This window comes from Homo sapiens, chromosome X (assembly GCF_000001405.40).
Source record: "Homo sapiens chromosome X, GRCh38.p14 Primary Assembly".
Taxonomy (NCBI): domain Eukaryota; kingdom Metazoa; phylum Chordata; class Mammalia; order Primates; family Hominidae; genus Homo; species Homo sapiens.
In genome coordinates this window covers 100,583,134-100,604,881 of record NC_000023.11, presented here as the reverse complement: position 1 = coordinate 100,604,881, position 21,748 = coordinate 100,583,134, and the positions used below count along the sequence as shown (strand labels likewise).

General features: G+C 40.4%; 1 protein-coding gene across 1 annotated transcript; it reads right to left on the bottom strand.

Annotated features, from left to right (window-relative positions):
* Window positions 4,997–19,946, bottom strand: TNMD (tenomodulin). Its single transcript, NM_022144.3, has 7 exons — window positions 19,816–19,946; window positions 19,520–19,651; window positions 10,847–10,987; window positions 10,520–10,621; window positions 7,225–7,378; window positions 5,700–5,866; window positions 4,997–5,374 (listed from the first exon to the last, which is right to left on the bottom strand). The coding sequence occupies exons 1-7, from the start codon at window positions 19,861–19,863 to the stop codon at window positions 5,165–5,167; spliced, it is 954 nt and encodes a 317-aa protein (NP_071427.2). The 5' UTR covers window positions 19,864–19,946; the 3' UTR covers window positions 4,997–5,164.

The following is a 21,748-nucleotide window of genomic DNA, read 5'->3' as shown; positions in this document are numbered from 1 at the left end:
AGTAATCTAGAGATGACTTAAAGTATAAATAAGGATGTGTGTAGGTTATATACAAATACTACTTCATATTATATCAGGGACTTGAGCATTCGAGGACTTTGGTATCCATGGAGGTCTTGGAGCCAATCCCCCACAAATACCAAGGAACGACAGTATTAATTTATACAGGCATAGAATGAAGTAGAGAGAATTTAGATTCCATGTTTGGGCAAGAGGAAAATGGGATTTGAAAAATGTCTTCAAATCAGTGAGAGACAAGTCTGTAAAGGAGATGGGATGACTGGACAAACAGAGCATGAAACTAAAATGCCTGAGAAAAGCAAGAGTGGTAGGTAGGGTAGTGGGAGGAGAAAAGAGATACAAGGTGGTAGTTTAAGGTGGTTTGAATCAGGATGTTTTGAATGCGACTTAGGCCTGATCCTTAATGTAGTAAGTAAGTAGCTATTGTAGACTCTCAGGAAAGGAAATGGCATTAATGAAATCTGTGAGTGAAAAACAAACTTTGTCTATAAGCATTTTATGTTAGTTTCCATCTCCAACCTGGGAACTTCAGCAGGGAGGAAGTTGTAACAAATGATCTAAGAAATAATCCGGTGGGGAAGGTTTAGAAGAGAAAAGATTTGGCAACAAAAGAGCTGGAGTGGGTGACAGGGATACATTATAATTACTGCAAGGTCTCTGGCTTGGGACGTCAGAGTTACTTTGATGTTGCTCTTTGAGGAGGCTGGGCTTAGGGAAGGGTGTAGGGAAGAGTGGCAGCTCTAGCCTCAGTGGGGTCGATGTGAGGGAAGTGTAAGGCACGAAATAAGGAATCTCTACACAGGATTCACATGAGGGGTAAAAATTTGTGATGAGAGAGGTATTATACTTTTTCCTTTTCAACCTAGCCTGGGCCTAAATTGAAGTGACAGACGAGTGTGTTTGGATTTGTTTATTTGCTGTGCTGTTCCCTTCTCCCCGCACCCCCTCTTCTAAGCATGTGATAATTTGAATCCTTCCTCCTCCTCCTCTTGTTCTTCTTCTTCTTTCTTTCTTTTTCTTTTTTTTTTTTTGCTCTGTTACCTGGGCTGGAATGCAGTGGCGCCATCTCGGCTCACTGCAACCTCCGCCTCCCGGGTTAAAGCGACTCTCCTGCCTCAGCCTCCTGAGTAGCTGGGATTACAGGCATGTGCCACCACGCCCGGCTAATTCTTTTTGTATTTTCAGTAGAGACAGGGTTTCACCATATTGGCCAGGCTGGTCTCAAACTCCTGACCTTGTGATCCGCCTGCCTTGGCCCCCCAAAGTGCTGGGATTACAGGCGTGAGCCACCGTGCCCAGCCTTGAATATTTCTTTAAGCATGCCCTTGTATTTTTTTTTTTTTTTAACTCATTCTGGCTCATTAAGAGGATCACAATTTCCCACTGTGAAATTATTTGGAGGTTGAGGTATCTCATTTGAGCAAGAAATGCTTCCTGAATTAAAAGAATGTGAGTAGGAACTCTGAGTCCTAAAATGTGATACGAAATTGTCTATACCTCTTAGAGTGTGTGTCTGTGTGTGTGTGAGCGCACGCACACATGCACACAGCATATACAACTGTAGTGAGTTGTGTATAAGTTCCTATGTTAGGGCTTATGTATTTTGGGTGTCTCATCTTTCTTTGGAAATAGGGAGTATATTTTCTACTTCATTTATATCCCTCATAGAGCATGGTATATATAGTATACTATAGACTGCATAAATTTGAGTGTCTCAGGAATTTAAAATTATTGGCTGATCTACAGGGAAATGCAAATCAAAACCACAATGCGATACTACCTTACTCCTGCAAGTATGGCAGTAATCAAAACATCAAAAAACAGTAGATGTTGGCATGGATGTGGTGATCAGGGAACACTTCTACACTGCTGGTGGGAAAGTAAACTAGTACAGCTACTATGGAAAAGAGTGTGGAGATTCCTTAAAGAACTAAAAGTGGAACTACTATTTGATCCAGCAATCCCACTACTGGGTATCTACCCAGAGGAAAAGAAGTCATTATACGAAAGAGATACTTGCACACGCATATTTATAGCAGCACACTTCACAATTGCAAAATCATGGAACCAACCCAAATGCCCATTAATCAACCAGTGGATAAAGAAACTGTTTTTTATATATATATATATATATATATATATATACACACACACACACACACATACACACACACACATATATATATGCACATATATAGACACACATACGTATACACACATATATACACGGATATATATACACACATACATATATAATATATACATACATATACACATATACATATATACACATATATACATATATACGCATATATATACACACACATATGTATGATGGAATACTACTCAGTCATAAAAAGGAACGAATTAATGGCATTTGCAGTAACATGGATGAGATTGGAGACTATTATTCTTTCTTTTTTTTTTTTGAGACAGAGTCTTGCTCTGTCGCCCAGGCTGGAGTGCAGTGGTGCGATCTCGGCTCAGTGCAAGCTCCGCCTCCCGGGTTCATGCCATTCTCCTGCCTCAGCCTCCTGAGTGGCTGGGTCTACAGGCGCCTGCCACCACACCTGGCTAATTTTTTTGTATTTTTAGTAGAGACGGGGTTTCACCGTGTTAGCCAGGATGGTCTTGATCTCCTGACCTCGTGATCCGCCCACCTTGGCCTCCCAAAAGTGCTGTCATTACAGGCTTAGCCACCGTGCCCGGCTGGAGACTATTATTCTAAGTGAAGTAACTCAAGAATGGAAAACCAAACATTGCATGTTCTCACAGATACGTGGAAGCTAAGCTATGAGGACGCAAAGGCATAAGAATGATACAATGGGCCAGGCGCGGTGGCTCACTCCTGTAATCCCAGCACTTTGAGAGGCCGAGGCGGGTGGATCACCTGAGGTCAGGAGATCGAGACGATCCTGACTAAGACGGTGAAACCCTGTCTCTACTAAAAATACAAAAAAAAAAAAAAAAAATTAGCCGGGCGTGGTGGCAGGCACCTGTAGTCGCAGCTACTCGGGAGGCTGAGGCAGGAGAATGGCGTGAACTCGGGAGGCGGAGCTTGCAGTGAGCAGAGATCGCACCACTGCACTCCAGCCTGGGCGACAAAGGAAGACTCCGTCTCAAAAAAAAAAAAAAATACAGAATGGACTTTGGTGACTTGGGAGAAATGGTGGGGTGGGGGGCCGAGGGATAAAAGACCACAAATAGGGTTCAGTGTATACTGCTTGGGTGATGGGTGCACCAAAATCTCACAAATCATCACTAAATAACTTACTCATGTAACCAAATACCTCCTGTACCCCAATAACCTATGGAAAAATAAATAAAAAATAGAAAAAATTAAATATAATAAAATTATTGGCTGATCTAAAAAAGCAATGTTAAAAATGAGTAGTCTTATTAAAAAACAATGATAGAAACATCATAAAGTTCATATAACCTCAAAGTAATTTCCTATCTTTGACGTTTTTCTATTTCAACTATAAATTAATGCTTGTTATGATAATCGAAGTACTCTAAAACAATCAGATGTCTTCTAAATCATCAATTAAAAATATTTTCAGTAATGTGCATTGTTAGATATATTTTATTGTGCTCTCTTTCTGTGAAAATTGGTAATCTAAGTATGGCATATATGCTAATTACCAATTAATGACTGGCTAATCACAACTCAACCTTGGGCAAAGCCATTTTCTATGGATTTCCTCAACTCTTAAATGGGAGAAAATGACTGCTGGCCCACAGGCATCTTGGTGAAGAATTTATTTGAAAATATTTTTCTGATAGAAAGTTCCAGACAGACATTTTCATGACACAATAACTTTGAAGTTGAGCAATGAAGTATATGCTACCTTCAAATGAAACTAGAAGGGGTGACAGATTGGTAGAGCATGAATTTTGAAACTGAAACTGTCTGGGACATCAAGGTTAACGTTACCCTTTAACCACTTCTTTCTCTTTCCCCTTTGCCCTCTTTTCCTTTCCCAAGCAAAGTATGGAGTGATTGGGAAGTATGCCCTTACCTTTTCTTTCAGAAACTGGTATACTGCTAGCTCCCTGTGATTTGGGAGGGAAAATCCCATTTGATTCCTCATCTCAATAATTTCCTATGATGCCTGTTTCTGTGAATGGTATTTATGGGTTCTTGTTTTTTAGACAATTGCCTTGGAAAGGTATCTAATCAAACACTGATATAAAGAGGAGCCAGATGTGAAGGCTATGGAATGTTGAATTTGTCCTAAGTTGAGTTCCTGTTTATAGGAGGAGAGCCTGAGACCCTTTTTGCTAGTTTAGCTTTCTCCTTTGCTGAGTCTGCACATTTGGAATATTTTAGTGTTGGCCTGCTATGACTCACTGCCTGTCCAGCAGCTTAATTGATACTTAAGGAAGTTCACAATATATCTTTCATATAATTAAACACTGGGGCTATGCACAAAAGGATATGTTTTTAATGCATCAGTTATGGAGACATTTTATCATCAGCTCCTTATTTCCACTGTCTTAATACAGCAGAGTAAAATATGATATTTAGGTATCATTATGCTTTGCCCTTTTCTACTTCCAAACCTGTTGTGTTGGATCCTCTCTGGAAAGGGAGTCTTATGACCTACAGTCAAACAAGGTAGGTCAGATAATTTCCTTATGGCCAGCTTTTACACAGAAAAGCAGAGGAAAAATCAGAGTGATATTTTTAGGTTTAAGGCTGGCTTTGGAAAAAAGGGGTTTTGATTTATATGACACGCCTTGAGGAAGAGGGATTCTAGCTTTTATGGCTAGCCTCGGGGGAGAATGGGACTGAGAGACTGGCAGGTAGGAGAAGGTCAGAGAAAAACTTTTGCTTCTGAGGCTTTCATTTTGGGGCATTGTTTTCTGAGCCTCAGCATAGTCATCTATGTTTGACGGGTCTGCTCCATTTCAGTTGCTGTGAATATTCTCAGCAAACACTTACCCAGTGTGTTCAGCAGCAATCAGGCTGTTGGTGATAATGTAGAAGTTTATTAGAACATGAAGAGAGGAATTACCTACAAGTAATTCTGGAGAGCTGGCTACCAGGGGCCAGATGCCTCATAGGCAGAAATTCATTGAATAGCATGCATTTATTATATGTTGCCAGCAGTTTAAGCATTTGAGCTCAAACCTCCTATTAGACCCTCCCCAGCATGCGGGCCACCCACCAGTTACAAGGCATGATGACACGACAGATGACTCGTCCTCCTTGGTAGCAGTATGGATATGGGTAGTAGCCTAGTAAAGGTTCACAGACGCGGCGGCAATAGCGGTTGCCTCGACGGCAGTAAATACAACAATAACCTCTCTCATCCAGCATGGGATCAAATTCTATTCCATTTTCAGTCTGAAAGAAGAAGAAGCCAGTGTTGGGGGTGGGAGAGGAAGGTTCACTAGCAAGAGTTCTCACCAAGCAGGGGAGAACTAGAAGACTGTATGAGTTGGGGGCTTGTGAGAAATTAAGCTCCTTAGCCTGATCATGGAGATATATCTACAGAGATCGAGATTGATTTTGAATGAGCCTCCTGGAGATTCCAAGTTTCTTAAACATTTTTTTTTTTTTGTTAAAGCCATGATCGTTCTCCTTCCAATGATTGTGATCTGAGGGGTAGTAAGTTTTGTGAGGGCTCTTTTTTCCTCCTCTATCAAGAGTTTACATAAACATAACTCACATAGTCATTTATTGGAAGTTCTTCCTCACTTGCTTGTCTGGCGTGACGGGTCTTCTCTACTTTCACTTGAGGGACCACCCACTGTTCATTTTGTTCAATCCCTTTTTTTTCGTTGGCAGGAAAGTGAAGATCTTCTCCCTCCTCCTCAAAGTCTTGTAACTCAGAAACTAAGATAATAAATGCAAAGTTGTGATGCAACTGCTTTGCAAATGTTCCTGAAAGAAGTGCTTGGGAGAATAGCAGCTGGGGATAGAGATTTTCATTGTGTCTTCTAACTGGCATCATTTAGGCATGGACCACTTTTCCAAGCTCCTTCAGCTGATATTTTAGAGTAGTTTCCAAAACAAGCCTGATCATTTCTACATACACAAACTTCTTTGCTTCTTTGGCATCAAACATTTACTGCTTTGACTTAATAGCACACTAAATTAAAAACTGAGGACAAGGGACTTCTGTATCTCCTACAATGATGATTTTACCCATGTAGATGCTCAATAAATATTTCTTGGTTGCCTGAATTGATTTGACATCCTCTGTCCTCCCACTTCCCTTATGTTTCTTGTCTTAAATTTTTTTTAAACTTTCTGTTTAGAAATAATCTTAGATTTATGGAAGAGTTGCAGAAATAGTACAGAGTTCACATATTCTTCACCCGGTTTCCCCTAATGTTACCTCACATAACCATGGTACAATGATCAAAAATCAGAAGTTAGAATTGGTACAATGTTATTAACTAAACTACAGACTTTATTCAGATTTCATTAGTATTTCTACTAATGTTTTTTTCTGTTCCAGCATCCAGTCCAGGATACCACACTGCATTTAGTCACCTTTTTAATATCTCTAAAGAGTACCCACAGATGCTTACATTGGTGAGAATAACCTCTCTTGGGTAATAGAGTAATCTATGCTGTGCAGAATGAGGGAGGCCAAATTCCATGTTAGCTAAACAGACTAAGACATCCAGGGGCCTTTACCTTCTCTATGGGCTGACTGGAAGTTGAGGGCTGGACTCTTCTACTCTGGACATCAAGCCCTCAACTATTTTTATAGTAATTCCTAAAACAGCAACAAAGAAATTTGTATTGCAGTGATTGTCCTATCTTCTAAGGAAAATGCCACCATTTGACATAGGGAATCCTTCTTGATAGCAGAGCATTGTTTTTGCCCTTCTCTCCTCTATTCTTGGGTTGGACCCACAGTGGTTTGAGCAATAGTCTGGCATACCGACTGCAATGAATATAGATGTGCAAAGAGAGACAGATTAGTTTTTTGCTATCACTAGTCACATTAGGGTGGTGTTACCTTTGCTGGGATATTTAAAAGCCTGTCAACATTAATTTATCTGATTTATAACTTGGCTGTGAAAAATTCCCTCCTCACTGGCAGTCAGCATATATAGACTCATCCAAGAAGATATAAACCGATCATTTGTTTTCCTAGAAATGTAGCCTCTAAATGCTGGGAACATTAACCTGTTACTGTCTTAGAAAATAGGAGGAGGATGAGGATAAGAATGTCATACCTGATATTAGAGTGGGATTGATCCAATACATGGTCACGTTATCACAAATCTCCAGAATTTTGGAATTTTTAAGAAAATCTCGGTTTTCAATAGGCTTTTCTGCTGGGACCCAAATCACTGACTGTTCAAAGAAAGTTGTGGTAATTTCTTCATTCTGAAAGAAGAAAGTAGCTTAGGGTAGGGATTGGCAGAGAAATTAGTAGAACAAGTGAGACATTATGGGATGCTGGAAAGCAATATATTTTGAGTGTAACAATTTTAATCCTAGGGCTGCTGGTGAACTAGCTCTGTGCCTTGCATTCAGTGGGTGCCCTTGGGGGAGTTAACAACTGATCCTTCCTCCTTCCTGGGTCTAACAGCAAGACTGCTTACTAAAGTAGGAGCCTTCTCTGTTACCATTTCACTCAAAGTCAGAAAGGGGCTTCGTTATTTTCAGGGTGCCCTGGGTCTGTGTATGTTTTAACTTGAGCTTCTGGAACCCTAAGTGATTTACATTTGTTTTCTTTTTTATAAATACATTTTATTAGCCTGCCTTATTTTAGGTTTGCATCTTGGGTGGCAAGCAGGATTTGACCCGAAGCTGACAAAACTCCTATAATCCAAACTGGTGAGATCAATTCAATAACAATGTAATCTAATATTTTGGTTTTACAAGATTTGCCTGTTGATGGTAGCTAGTTATAGTACAAAAGATTTCCTTTTATGTTTTAAAGGCAAGTCTCCAGTTTATGACTTCACTGGCCTTCCTACTATTGCATTCCTTTCATTGTAAATGCTTAGAGTTTATCTCACAGAGTGTTTTTCCTTTAAGCAGCTTTTTTTATATTGTGAAGGATGCCACTTTCTCTTCAGTTTCTAGTATTGAGGTAATTGTGTTGTATACCTAGTTCTTACTAATTTCTCCCGGAATCATTTACAATTCTAAAGTCTTAGCACCTTTGTCCTTGAGTCTGTAACGACCTTGAGATGCATTGAAAGGAATTGTATAAAATGAGGTTGGTATGCTGACTAGCTTTGTTAGCAAAATCAGGGCTATTTATATACCTGCTCTGCATGTTTAAAATACACATGCCATGGATACAGTGTGGAGGGAATTACAGAAGAAGGTTTTTGTCATTCAGGACCACAAATTTGTCTCATTAAAAAAAAATCTGTGGCGTGAATATAAAAAACAAGATTTACTTGAAGGTACAGTGTTCTTACTATCATGAAATGAATTTGCGTTATTTAAAATATTTGGTGAAATTAACTGAAGACTAAATTAGGGCCAAAATGAGACATTATGAGCCTTTGCCTTTATTTTTTGTTTATTTATTTATTTTTTGACACTGAGTCCCGCTCTGTCACCCAGGCTGGAGTGCAGTGGCGCAAACTCGGCTTACTGAAACCTCCACCTCCCGGGTTCAAGTGATCCTCCCACCTCATCCTCTTCAGTAGCTGGGATTACAGGCACACGCCACCATGCCCGGCTAATTTTGTTTTGTTTTGTTTTGTTTTAGTAGAGATGGGTTTTCACCATGTTGGCCAGAGTGGTCTCGAACTCCTGACCTCCAGTGATCCCCCTCTTCGGCCTCCCAAAGGGCTGGGATTATAGGCGTGAGCCACCGTGCCCCGCCTCCTTTGCCTTAATCTTTCAAAAAAATAAATCCTATTATATCACTTCAGGTTCTCATTGCTGAGTGGCCTACTCAAATGCTTACATTATTTTCTGTATGTAATCAGCATATGTTATTGTGTATAGTAGCTTTTTAATCCTATTGATTTTCCTTTTATCTTACCTTTGCCTTCTATAGTCATTCCTAATATCCTGAACGTCGATCTATTCCTCAGATGCATCTAACTTATGCTTACTTTAAAAAAAGTCTCCAAACTTTGTCACTACCGTAGACCTTGGGAGCAGAGCATCATCTTTGGGAGAACGTTCTTTTTTTTCTTGCAAATTCTAGTAACAAGGGTCTGTAACTCCTCTGGCCCCGAGGAGACCAGTAGCATGAAAGAGTAAAGTGGGAGCCAATGACAGCTCTAAGACTTGGGTAAGGGAAAGAAAAATAGTCCTCCCCACCCACCGCCCCCAAATAAAGAAAAAGGTAAAGAAAAAGGTAAAGGAAAAGATAAATGGGTTGGTGAGAATCAAGATGGAGGGAGCTGGGTGGGAGAAAAGTGAAAAAGAACAGGGAGAGAGAGAAGAAAGAAAGAAAGAAAGAAAGAGGTTTTTATAGTTTATAGAAAGATCACTCTGCCATGGCTGGGCGCGGTGGCTGATGCCTGTAATCCCAGCACTTTGAGAGGCCTAGGCGGGCGGATCATGAGGTCAGGAGATTGAGACCATCCTGGCTATGGTGAAACCCCGTCTCTACTAAAAATACAAAGAAGAAGAAGAAGAAGAAGAAAGATCATTCTGCCATTGCCATAATTCCACTTTAGATTTGGCAACTAAGCACTAAACCAAACCAAACCAATGTTTGTTTTTTCTTGCTATAGTGGGGATATGCTGTCACAATATGACCTTAACTGAGGTCCCCCTTCTCCTCCCACTAATAAAACCATACTGTAATTATAGACAAAATATCAGGGAACAATAAAGAGCCTCAAGGGCCTTACAGATCGTTGTATTTTAGGCAATAACATCCATCTCCCATTAGGTTTTAAAGGGCCATTCAGTGATTTCACCAGCACCCTAGGTTGCCTTACTTTGGTCTAGCAGGGTGTTTTCAGAGAATTTGTATCCCATTGCAGTGTTCACCTTCTTTGCTTTTGCCTTTCCTACTGAGGTTAAATGTGAATTATTCCATTAGCAGCCCAGCATAAAATGGTAAGGTGAATGAACCACAATCTTTAAAATAGGTGAATACTGAAGTGTGACAAAAGTGGCAAGAACCCCAGGTGGCTTTGGAACTTTCTTTTTTAAAAACGCTTTATCTGAGGCAAGATTGATTTTGTTTCTCTGGCTCATCCCTCTTACTAGAAATCTTTGGTTTCAGAGAAAATCAACATAATGTTAATGGGTGCCCGGGTATAAGAGTATAGCATTGCACCTAAAATTATGCACTTGAGTTTTCTGAAAGGCCTAAGTTCAAGACCCCAATCTGCTACTCACTAGCTGTGTGGCCTTGAGCAAGTCACTTTTTGGCTCTGAGTTCTAGTTTCCTGATCTGAAAATGATGATAACAATAGTATCTATTTATAAGGTTGTTGGAGAATCAAAGAAAAGTAAAGCATTTAGTACAATGTTTGGCACATAGCTAGCATCCAATAAATGATGTCTTTTGCCACCACAATTATTCTTCTTACATACCTCATCTATTTCCTCTTCTGGTTCAGAAAATTCAGGAATCACTTTAATCTGAGTTTTGATAAAACATTTTTGAAGACCCACGAAGTAGATGCCAGTGTATCCCTATAAAACAGACAAAACAACAATAAAGCTTCCCAAAAGAGCCACTATTAGTAAGTTCCATGATCTGTTGGGGTCCCAGACTAGCAAAATTTGAATTCAAATGGAAAGCTAGAGGAGGCTAGCTTTCCATTTGAATTCAAATTTTAGATGGAGGCTATTTTTAACTTGACTCAACTGCTCTAATATTTTAAGTGGAAAGCCTTAGGAGGAAAACATCCAACTTACGTTTTTAAAGTCGTGCACTTCCAATGTTTCATCAGTGCCATTTCCGCTTCTGAATATTTCAGTTCTGGTCACAGGATCAATTTCCATGTAAATCTTCTTCTTCTCTCCATTGCTGTAGAAAGTGTGCTCCATGTCATAGGCCTGGGAGAACAGAGGAAAACAATCTCTAAGATACTCAGTGTGTCCCTAAAGTGAGGTGCTTTTTGGCGCTGGAGCTGATATGGGGATCCCTTCAGAGCTGGTATTTTGAATTCAAGCCAAGCTGCTGAGCTAATTACTAAGAATTCCAACAGTTTTCTTGGCAGCCTTGACTAAACAGCAAATGATAGTTTGCAAACCAGCCTATAAAGTATTTTCCCCTTGTGTTAAGCTGAGGGATCACCTAAAACCTATGCTGCTTCTTTAAGCTACCACTTCCCTTTCCAAGTGCTAAGTAATCACGACCCCCCCCTTACTGCCCCGCCCCTCACCCGTGAAATTCATTAGGGCTTAGAAAGAGATTTGAATACACTTAAAATGGTTAAGTGTTTTTTGTCTCCTTATTTATCCAGGGCTTTAATATTGCCACAACAGCCTTGAGTCTATTCCTTTTAGAATCTGAAGACTTTCTCCTTGCCAATATTAGAGCCCTACCCTGCTCTGTTTGCTTCCTTTTGCCCCTTAAACTCCAGGAAACATTTATTGCCTTCCCTTAGCCTTCTCTTTATACGGCAACCAACCCCACCCAGTTTATTCCTGGGTTCTGTTTCCCAAGCCATATTCAGTTGTTTTCAAGTTCTACGGATTCTTTTGTGTATATGGAATTAAGCCAACTGAGCCAAGTGTCCTGCATTAAGTAACATGGAGCCTCCCAAGAAGAAAGACTGCTCATCAGGTCTTTCTTGAGTGGCTAAAACAAAACCCCAGATTTTCTCCTGCACTCTAAAAGAGGCAATTGTATTTCTAAAGACCAAGAGGACCAGTCCCATATGGCACTGCAGTTTAGGAGTAAGCCCATAACTTATAGTTTTAGGACATATTTATAGGTAGAAGCAAATAAGCATAAAGGAATTTGTTATCTGTCACAAACCAGGCCAGACCTGATGATGCCTTTTGGAAGTCTATCTTATCTCTGTCATTAGGAGACCTTTGTTTATCGAGTTTCTCCATGTTCATTTTTCCTTATGAAAAAAATCTGGGAAACTAAAAGCCTGAAAAAGCAAGTCTTCTTCAGAGCCCACATTGCTTTCTAATGATACGGTTCCCAGTGGCAGCCTTATAGAGAACTTACACCAGGTTGGGTCATTTTTTAGTCTCTGCTGATGCCATTGACTGAATGTTAGTTTAACCTGGTGAAATATTCACCAACTCAACTAGAGAAAAACAAATTGGAACCATTTGTAGAAGCAAGTGTTACTTCAAGGGTGACAAGTCTAATGTAGCTGCTGAAGAGAAAAACAAGAGACAATGTCATTTACCTCTTGGTAGCCCTACAGTGCTTTGGACATGGTTGGAACCTAAGTATTTGTTGAATAAGTTGTCCCCACCAATGGCACATCCTTATCTTCCTAAAGAGACATTTTTGAGTATTGGCAAGGTCTTTTAAAAAAACCATTTTAAAAGTGAAAGAAAAACAATACTTAGAACTCTCTGGCAACTGCAGAGTTAACTCAGGAAGTCTGGCCTGGTTTGTGATAGGTAGCAAATTCCTTTAGGTTTGTTATTTGCTTCTAGCAATAAATATGTCCTCAGTTCCAGCTCTGCAGCCAGCTTGAGAAGAGAAACTTCTACCTGTGGCAACAAATTGAGCTCTCAGTCTGTCTGACCTAAGTAGAAAAGAGAGGCATCCACTTCAGATCCAGTCCTGTCAGCTCTCCCAACGGGGGAATTTTGTTAGAAATACTATCCATTTTTGAGACAAATGTTGATGCCACTAGCCATTGGGGGCTGCGGTGGGGTGTTTATTTCATCAGTAGCACCACTGATGGATTATTGTATGGAAAAATGAGGTTAGAGACTAGGGGATGCTGGAACACTGCCTACCTGGGCGAAAGAGAAAATACAGGCTGTATTTTCAATCACTGGTAGAAGACTATGGAACCTACTGGTGACATTTAGAATTTCAGTGTGCTTCTGTGGAATGAGTTTTCCTGCACTGTTGGCAATGCACTTTACTTGGACACCTTGCTAGATGAAAACTATTGGAAACTGCCAAGCTCAGCAGATCTTGATTATTTTCAACATTCCTGCAAAGAGTTTTTTTGGTAGGGGAGAAGGGGTCCATTCTGATTGTGTTCATTAACCAACTTGTTGGCTTTATGTTAGTAATGATAAGTTACTAGAGTGGGAACAGAATGACTTCGTTTATGTGTGAATCCTTGGTAGGGGGTAGGAGTGGGGAGCTATATATTCACCCAGACAGAATTCCACTATCAAAGGTGTCCTTTTGGAACAGACTGTTCTTCGTCTAGGAAGATGATGCTGGTGGCCCACTTTGGACTGTTTGGAGATGGGTATGAGCAAATCCAGACACACTGTCTCGCCTGGGTCCCTGTGGAGCACATTGCTTGGGTAATGGCTATGCAAGCTTCACTGGCCCGTATGAAGACTGAGCTCATGCCTTTGGCATCACAAGTACTTTGCTCTCTACTAAGCTTCCTGGCTCAGGGGTTGAAGGTCTTTCTGGAGATGAAAGAATAAATGGCTTTGTCCTCTCCAGGAGCAAGCTAAAGCAGAGACAGGATGACTGGCCTGAAGAGAGGTGTGAGTGGGCTACAAGTAGCTCATCTCAGCTGCCTCCAACTCAGCTTTATTCCAGGGAGGATAGAGCAAGGACAGAATATGATGAGGAGTACACCCCTGCCCAATTGGAAAATAGAGAGAGTTAATTTTTGGTGCTTCTAGCTTTCCTTTTCTGCTCTATTTTCATATTCTGTTCATTCTATACCCTCATAGCCCTTCCCCTTTCTCTTCCCATTTCTGTCCCTTTGTCTCCTGTCTAGACATCTAGGAATCTCGTGGTGCTTCAGGTACCTTATGACAAAGAAGAAATCAATCTGACCCATGATTTCACACTTAGATATTAGTGATGAATATTTGTCTGTTTAAAAATTTGAGTGCAATACTTCACTCAGAGGAATGAAGTACTAATAGTGGATTTTATTACTTTATTACTTTGCCATTACTTTCAATGGCTAAAACCACAGTTACTTTTGCACCAATCTAATAGGCACAGTGGCACGAGGAATGGGAGATATTTGGGGGCAAGGGCATCTTTCCAGCACCACTCAAATGGGCTCTTACTCCACCCACACATAAGGCTGGCCTTAACTATAAGAACCAGAACACTGGAATGGAACAAGGAAGCCAATGGAGTGGAATAGGAATCAGAAGTGAAATGAGACAGATATGTGGTTAAGTCCAGGCAGTGAGAAGTGTAAGAAGACCACACTGACAAAATATGTAGAGGACACAACCCATTTTTCTTCCCTGCCCAGGAATTCTGTCTTCAGTCCAGTTAAATCCTCCATTCAGGCAGCAAATGAGCCCTAACATCCCTCTTTCACAGTTTTCCTTGTTTTCTTGCCTCTGTGGCAGTCCCTGAGATCAGAAAAGAAAGCTATTTAGAAAAGGTAAAGCTATCTCAGACCTCAGTGTGATGGATCTGTTTTAGGGGCAAGAAGCTTTAGCCTGTCCTGACAGGGATTTGAGGACATTTGGCTTAGGTTTGTTTTTTGAAGCCTGTGATTAATCTAGCTGCTCTTCACTCCATCTTCATCCCTTACTGTCTGTTATGAGGTACACTCTCCAAAGGTGAAATACATGCTCAGAATAGCTGGCTAGCAGGTGTTAGGCTGGAAGGAAGGGAAGAGAATGCACTGTACCATATTATTATTAACCTAACTTGGGGGAATTAAAGGGCCTCTGGGTATTTCTTTACCAACACAGAGCAGACAGATTGTTCCTTATGCAAAGTTAGAGTTCTGCATCTTCAATCACCATTTGGCAATATGCAAAATATTGGCATAAGCAGCACAGACATTCTTTTTCAACAAGAAAAAGCTACTTCTTTTATCTACAGACTTGAGCTGACCAGTAAGTTTTTCTCCTACCCATTATCCCCATCCCTGATTCTTAAATGCAGCTGAAGAATAGTGGAAAGAATCTTCAGACTAGCCTCTAGTTCTAACCTTAACCCCACCACTTACAAGCTGTGTGATTTTGGGCAAATCACTGAGTGTCTCTAGGGACTCAGTTCCTATTTTAATCCTTTACCCCTTTTCATCTGTAATGTTAGATAGTTAGCAAAGTCTGCTGAGATTTGCTCAGATCAACCTGTCAGGTTGATCACTGGACTACGCCTACTGCCACTATCTGTTGATCATCCAGGCTACTTCCTCCACAGCCCCAATTCCACTCTCAACCACTCCAGAACAGCTGTCTTTGAAGGCCCAGGCTCTTCATCCTGGTGTCATATAAGTTGTTCAGCAAATGCTGCCTTAGGAGAATGAAGAGACTGACTAAGAAGAACATGCCCATCACAGCCACAGCCTGGCTCCACATAATTGCTGGGAGCTGCCCTTGAGTAGCCCAGAATAAGAGCTGGCCCAGTGAGAGTTGTACAAGGGTGGACCTGGGTCTCACAATGCTTTAAGAGGAAAATGAAGAGAGGTCTTTTTTTTTTTTTTTTTTTTGAAAATGCCAACATGGCACCATCTGGTAAAGCTCAGTCTCCCTGCCAAAAATATTCCGGCTACTCCTTCAACTTTTTCCTTGAGGGTATATTAATGTTTCTCTAGACCCACATTTCACCCACCGGACTGTGGTGTAGGAAAGCCCAGGGGACCTGGAGAAAAAAGTTGTCTTCCTTGTGTGCCTAGAGAGGAGCGAAAAAAGTTAATATTGGGCTAATGCCCAATTGTGCGTGCCAAGAAATAGGCACGCACAAAATGTTGCAATCAGACTCGTCAAGAAAGTGCTTCTTCTGAGCAAAGGATTTTCAACCTAGAATGATAGTGGACTCACAACGCTGGGGGAGACTGTTTTAGTGATCACCTGCAACTGAGGTGTGGCAGGAGGGCAGAAAAGTGCCCGCTTATCCCTACCACTCCTCATTGCTCTGGTAATATATAGAAGTTGAAGGAACATCCTCACGAATCTATTGATTACTGTGGTCCTGATGGCTTTCAAACAACCCTAAAGTCACCAGGCAGCTCCTATGTAAGGCAGTAAGGACACTCTTTCATTTATTAAATGTATGATTCTTCTGCCTCGCTCCACAAAGGATTGGCAGGGATGGGCTACAAGGTCTGTGCTAAGTTTCTAAACTGTTGGTTTAAGGGCTAGGATTTTTCTGATTTGTTTGCTTCATGTTGGATTAATTAGCTGAGGAGTTGGCTTCTGACTGTTTCCAGTAAAATGTGTAATACAGGGGGCTTTAAGCAAGAATGTTTCTTTGGTGATTCTGCTTCAATGATCCCAGGGCAGTCACTGCCTAGAAGGGGAGCCTCATTACGATGCTTTCTCAAAATTGCTGGGACTGAATAGGTCTCTTCTGCTTGTTTAAGAAAGCTGAATTCAGAGCTGGATGGACCTGGCTTTCATTTAGCTCAGGTGGCTCCTGTATGTGGCTGTGGGTCAGGGGCCTGGGACCTGTAAGAAAATGCAGCAGCTCACCCAGAGTTAGTCGTCCTTGTTTCACTTTATTTTGATTTCATTCTCTCTCTGGTCTGTGTGTGTGTGTGTGTGTGTCTGTGTGTGTGTGAGTCTGTGCGTGTGCACACCTGTGTGCACGCAGACCTGAGGTATGTGAGGGGAGGAGGTCAAGCATGGCTTGTTCTCAATTTGGATACAGGAATCTGGATCTTTTGTACACACCAAAGCGGGAGTGAGGAGAAGGACTTATTGGCATGGAAATGTCAACACCAGATGTGGGATGTTAAATAAATACTGTTTATTATACACAGATGTTGAAAGACAAAATAAAAAGGAGGCGTGGTGGAGGCTAGGAGAGCAAACACTAAGAGCTTGGAGGAAATCCCAGGACTGCAAACAAATCACTGCCACCAATAAGCACAGTTGCATGCACAGCTCTCTCTACCAAGGGCCACAGAGTCCCAACAAGTCTCATAGATTTGTTAAGGAAAGCCCAAAGAGCCTGGATTTTAATCTGCTGTTGTTTCTTGCTAGGCCATACCATTAAGGGGAGAGTCTTTAATTTATGTAAGATGCCTGTGTCCCTTTCCTATGCAACTCTTCCAAGACTAATCTGACTGCTAGTCTCTTCCCAGAATTCTTAAGTCTGCTCTAAGGCAGGCTTGTTGATAGGCGTACCCATTGGAAACATAGATGGTCTCTTGAGATCTTTGTCTGGGACCTGAAGGTAGTAGTGGACTAAGTAAAGCATCCTCATTTCCAGCTGATTTCTTAGTTTTCAATGAACCAAACCTGGTCTTATGAAGGCCATGACTTAAATATCAAAGACAATGAATCATAACTCCCCACTGGAATGGAAAACCAACAATATTTGTTCATGGTAGAGAAACTTGCCCTAGGGGACACCTGTTGTCTTTATCTGGATTACTTCATAATAGCTTTGTTCATTTCTGAGAGTCCCTTTGCTGAAAATGACATCCCAAAATGGATTACTTCACAAGAGGTTTGATTTTTGATAAACTTTATTCAGCAGCATATCCCACCTCTTCTGTGCATGCACTGACCAAGTTTTATTTTGGTTTGAGGTATCATAGGATTGCTCCTTATAATCATTAAAAACAGAACTAGAATGAGATGTAAAGATGATATAATAGGGAAAGAGAGGAGACCATGAAGCTGCAAGTGAGTTTGACACTTTGCAATAAAAAGGCAAGGTCTCCACCTAGTCGTTTATAGCTGCGTTGAGGCAAATAGCACTGTAAATTTATAAAAACACATATACTCTTTTGGAATAGCATTTGCAGTACCAATGACAACAATAAAACAAGAAAGGCCATTTGGCCCCTTATTTAGGCAAGCATCTAAGGGTGGTCAAAAGGACTAGCTATCCACCATGCCCAGTTAAGTACATTATGGCTGTGGAGAACAAAGGATTTATGGCCCTTTAACTCATGGATAATTTTCAAGAGGATCCAAGGTTCAACTTGTGGGGTGACATATCACCTTGGGAATTAGCTAAGTGGTACCAGAATTGTATTGGAATGCATTTTGGCTCTCTTATTAATTTGCTGTTTCCTTCCTGATCTCGATTGCTTTACCCACCCTGCCAGCCTGAACACAGGTGGCTTCTCTAGAAGGACATTTGAACGGTAAGTAGTTCAGAAGCAAGGAGCAGTAAGGGGAGGAGGAGTAGGGGATAGGGCTAACTATAGGCATTGGGTGATGCCTGAAATCTTTTCTGGAACAAAGTATAAATAAAAAGGCAAACAAAGTAGGCTGGCTTGCTCTCCCTCCTACTTAAACCTGATAAGATATCCTTTGGGACTAAATGAAAGTGGGTATGACAGCAGAGGTGGAGAACCCAAGGGTGGTTATGCTTTATACCTCTGTTATCTTTCAGACACTTAGCCAGCTTATTTTCTGCTTTTCCTGCTCTGCCTCTCTCTCCCCACTGACCCATATTTTTTTCTCTCTGCTCCTATTGCTCCTTTGGCTCCTAACGGTCCATGCCAACCCATTTTCTTGTATCATCCTCCTTCCTGGATTTGTGCTTTTTTCTCCCTACATCTGTTACCAAATAGAAATGAGCATCTTATGACAACCAATTAACAACAGTAATAACAATAACTTCAGCAGCAATCCACACACCAACAGAAAAACATGGCAAAGCCAGAAAACTATCTTCACAACTTGTAGTTTGTATATTTGTTGATTATCTTTCAAATGGAAATTGTGAGCATGAAGGGACTATGGTTTTATTTGGGACTATGGTTTTATTTATTTATTTTATATCTAAACTTGCCCATTGCCTATGAGCCCAGGAATAACAATAACACTAAGGTACAGAAATATAAACTACAGTGGCTAGCCAAGCTTCACCAAATGACCCCAGTATCAGAAGCTTTCTGAGTTATCTGTGATTAATGACTTGGTGTCGCATGCTTCTACCTTGTGGCATTGCTATCTCAGTGGGACAGTGATGATTGCAGCTGGCAAGGAGCTGAAAAGCTCTAGTTTCTTTTTAAAGTCATAAATAAATGTGAAGTCAGGTATGAGAATTGCTCCTCCTGAAAAGCAGCTTGCTGCCTGTTCTCACTGCAGATGCATTAAGTCAGAAACATAATCCCTGAAAATCCTTTGCTGCCACTTTGGGTGGTTTCTCCTTATGTGGTGGTCTAATTACTTTTCCATCAGTTTCTGCCCAGATAATTGAAAGAAAGATTAAAAGTATTTTTTCTTAAGGTAAAAACTTTGCTCCTAGGAGGAGTCTTAACTCCTTAAATATAAGCATTATAGAAGAATGGGTAATTCTACACCCTATCATTACTAACCAAAATATAGAAGATAAATTTTTTTCCCTTACCAAAATAATTAGGCAAATGAAGGAGAGAAAAATCTTGATTCAGTTTTTCATACCACCAGAAAATAAACACAAAAGAGACTTAATGATTTTCATTTTCAGAATAATTTATATGCCTACTAATTAAATTCAATCAAACTCAGAACAGAAGCATCAGATTATGATGTGTATTTACTTACTTTTTTGGGTACCTCCGGCCAGAAGTGCTTGCTCCCCCAAAACAGGACAATTAGAGTTAGGGCCAGGATACCAAACACCAGTCCACAAATCTTAAGTGATTTACATATTTTCTTGGATTTAAAAGCTTCTGCCTAACCAAAGAACAGAGAGAATAAAACAATACACAATAAATCTCAATAAGCAAGCCATAATTCAAAGTCACCTTTGATTCCACTTTCTAATGTTCACTTTGCAATATGATAAATCTGTGAAACCATGCTTCTGCTCAAAAGGGAAAAAATATGAATCAACTTACATTTAGAATGTGACAGTCTTCACAATTCTCTGGAGGATTCTTTGCCATGGTCTCTCAGCACACAGTACTCTTTCCTTGCTTTGAGAGGACTGAGAGACCACTGCTGAGGTGGAGTTGCAAGTGAGTCGGCTAACAGATGCCAGAGGAGAAGCTGAATTTATATGGCTCAAATATGTCATACCAGAGCCTGAGGGAGCCCAGGGGACTCCTGTGCTGCGATTTGTTACATAGATATACCCATATATGTATATAACTTCTGTGCACAGAATTCCATCCAGAATGGCAAAGACAGAAGGTTATAATGAAAACTATTGTCCTGGGGGTTGGGTTGGAAGGGGACCAAGCCTAGAACACATTGAAATGATTTTTCACTATGAACTTAAAATATCAGTGGCAATACATGCTGCACACTCCAGAAATAAGCAAACAAAACAAAGAAGGGAATGAAGTCCTAATTTCGATTCCATTTGGTTCAACAAATATTTATTGCAGGGATATTAAATGTCAGGCACTGTGCTTGGTGTTTGAGATTCAGAAATGAATAAGATATTGCCTCCTTCACTAAGTTAAAGCTCTTTAAATGGTGCTATCAATATGTACTTAACTAATTATAATGAAAACAGGATAAAATAAAGACTAATTCTAAGCTCTCTCTCTTCATCTTCTGTCTCTGATTTTTCTCCTTTCTTGGGTCCTCTTCCTCAGTCTGCTTTTTAATGTTCACATGCCTTATGGTTCTCTTCTTGATGATCATTCTCACTTTACACAGACTTCGTAGATGATATCATTCATTCCTACAGTTGAAAATATCACCTACATATCAGTGATTTCCACATCTGTACCTGTAACCCAGTTATATCTTTTAATTTCAAGGCCATTTGAACATCTCCACCTGGATATACCTCAGGAATCTCAAACTCAACATGTTCTATATCAAAGTCTTCTTTCAACACCTTCTCCTAACCTACTTTTTCCCCTCATATTCCCAACCTTAGTTGGTGGCTATATTAGTTTGCTAGGGCTGCCATAACAAAATACCACAGACTGAGTAGCTTAAATGGCAGAAATTTATATTCTTACTGCTCTGGAGGCTAGAAGTCCAAGATCAAGGTGTTATCAGGGTTGGCTTCTTCTGAGTCCTCTCTCCTTGGCTTGTAGATGACCATCTCCATATTCACATGACATTCTCCCTCTATGTATGCCTGTATCCTAATCTCCTTTCATTATAAGAACATCAGTTATATTGGATAAGGTCCCATTCATATGACTTCACTTAACCTTAATTACCTCTTTAAAAACCCTATCACCAAATACAGTCAAATATAGAAATACTGGGGGCTAGGGCATCAACATATGAATTTTGAGGGAACATAACTTAGCTTATAATAGTGGAATTGTCACGCACCCAGTCTTTCAAACCAAAATCTGAGGTTTGTCTTTCAAACCAAAAATGTGAGGTTTGTCTTTCAAACCAAAAATCTGAGGTTTTGTCTCTTTTTCACATTCCCTTTATCCAATCAATCACTAGATCCTATCTATTCCAATCAATCACTAGATCCTATCTATTCTAAATTTTTATATCTTTGAAAGCTGTTCTTTCCTATTGTGCTCACTGCTAACACCCCAGTTTAGTTTGTCATCCTTTTTGAGAACTTTCACATCCATATATTTTACCCAGGCTGTTCTCTTGGAGCTCCACATCCATATGTCCATCTAACCTGCTAGACATCTACAATACCCAACAGACACCTCAAATTCCATATATCCCGAACTGAATTAGTTATCTCTCCTTTCAAACATGCACTTTTTTTTTGGTATTACCTCTCTCACTAAATGACACAATAATCAGTCTCTAGAATAGAAACTTCCAGATGATCCTTGATTTCTTCCTGTCTTGTTCATCCCCATGGCTAATCAATTATTAAGTCCAGTT

Excerpts from the sequence above, each read along its gene's own strand:
- TNMD (NM_022144.3), bottom strand. The coding sequence starts at position 19,863 with ATGGCAAAGAATCCTCCAGAGAATTGTGAAGACTGTCACATTCTAAAT. Across the intron at positions 10,988-19,519 it reads GGCCGGAGGTACCCAAAAAA|GCCTATGACATGGAGCACAC; the intron begins GTAAGTAAATAC and ends CTGTTCTCCCAG. Across the intron at positions 5,375-5,699 it reads AACTTCCAATAAATGACTAT|ACTGAAAATGGAATAGAATT; the intron begins GTGAGTTATGTT and ends TTCTTCTTTCAG.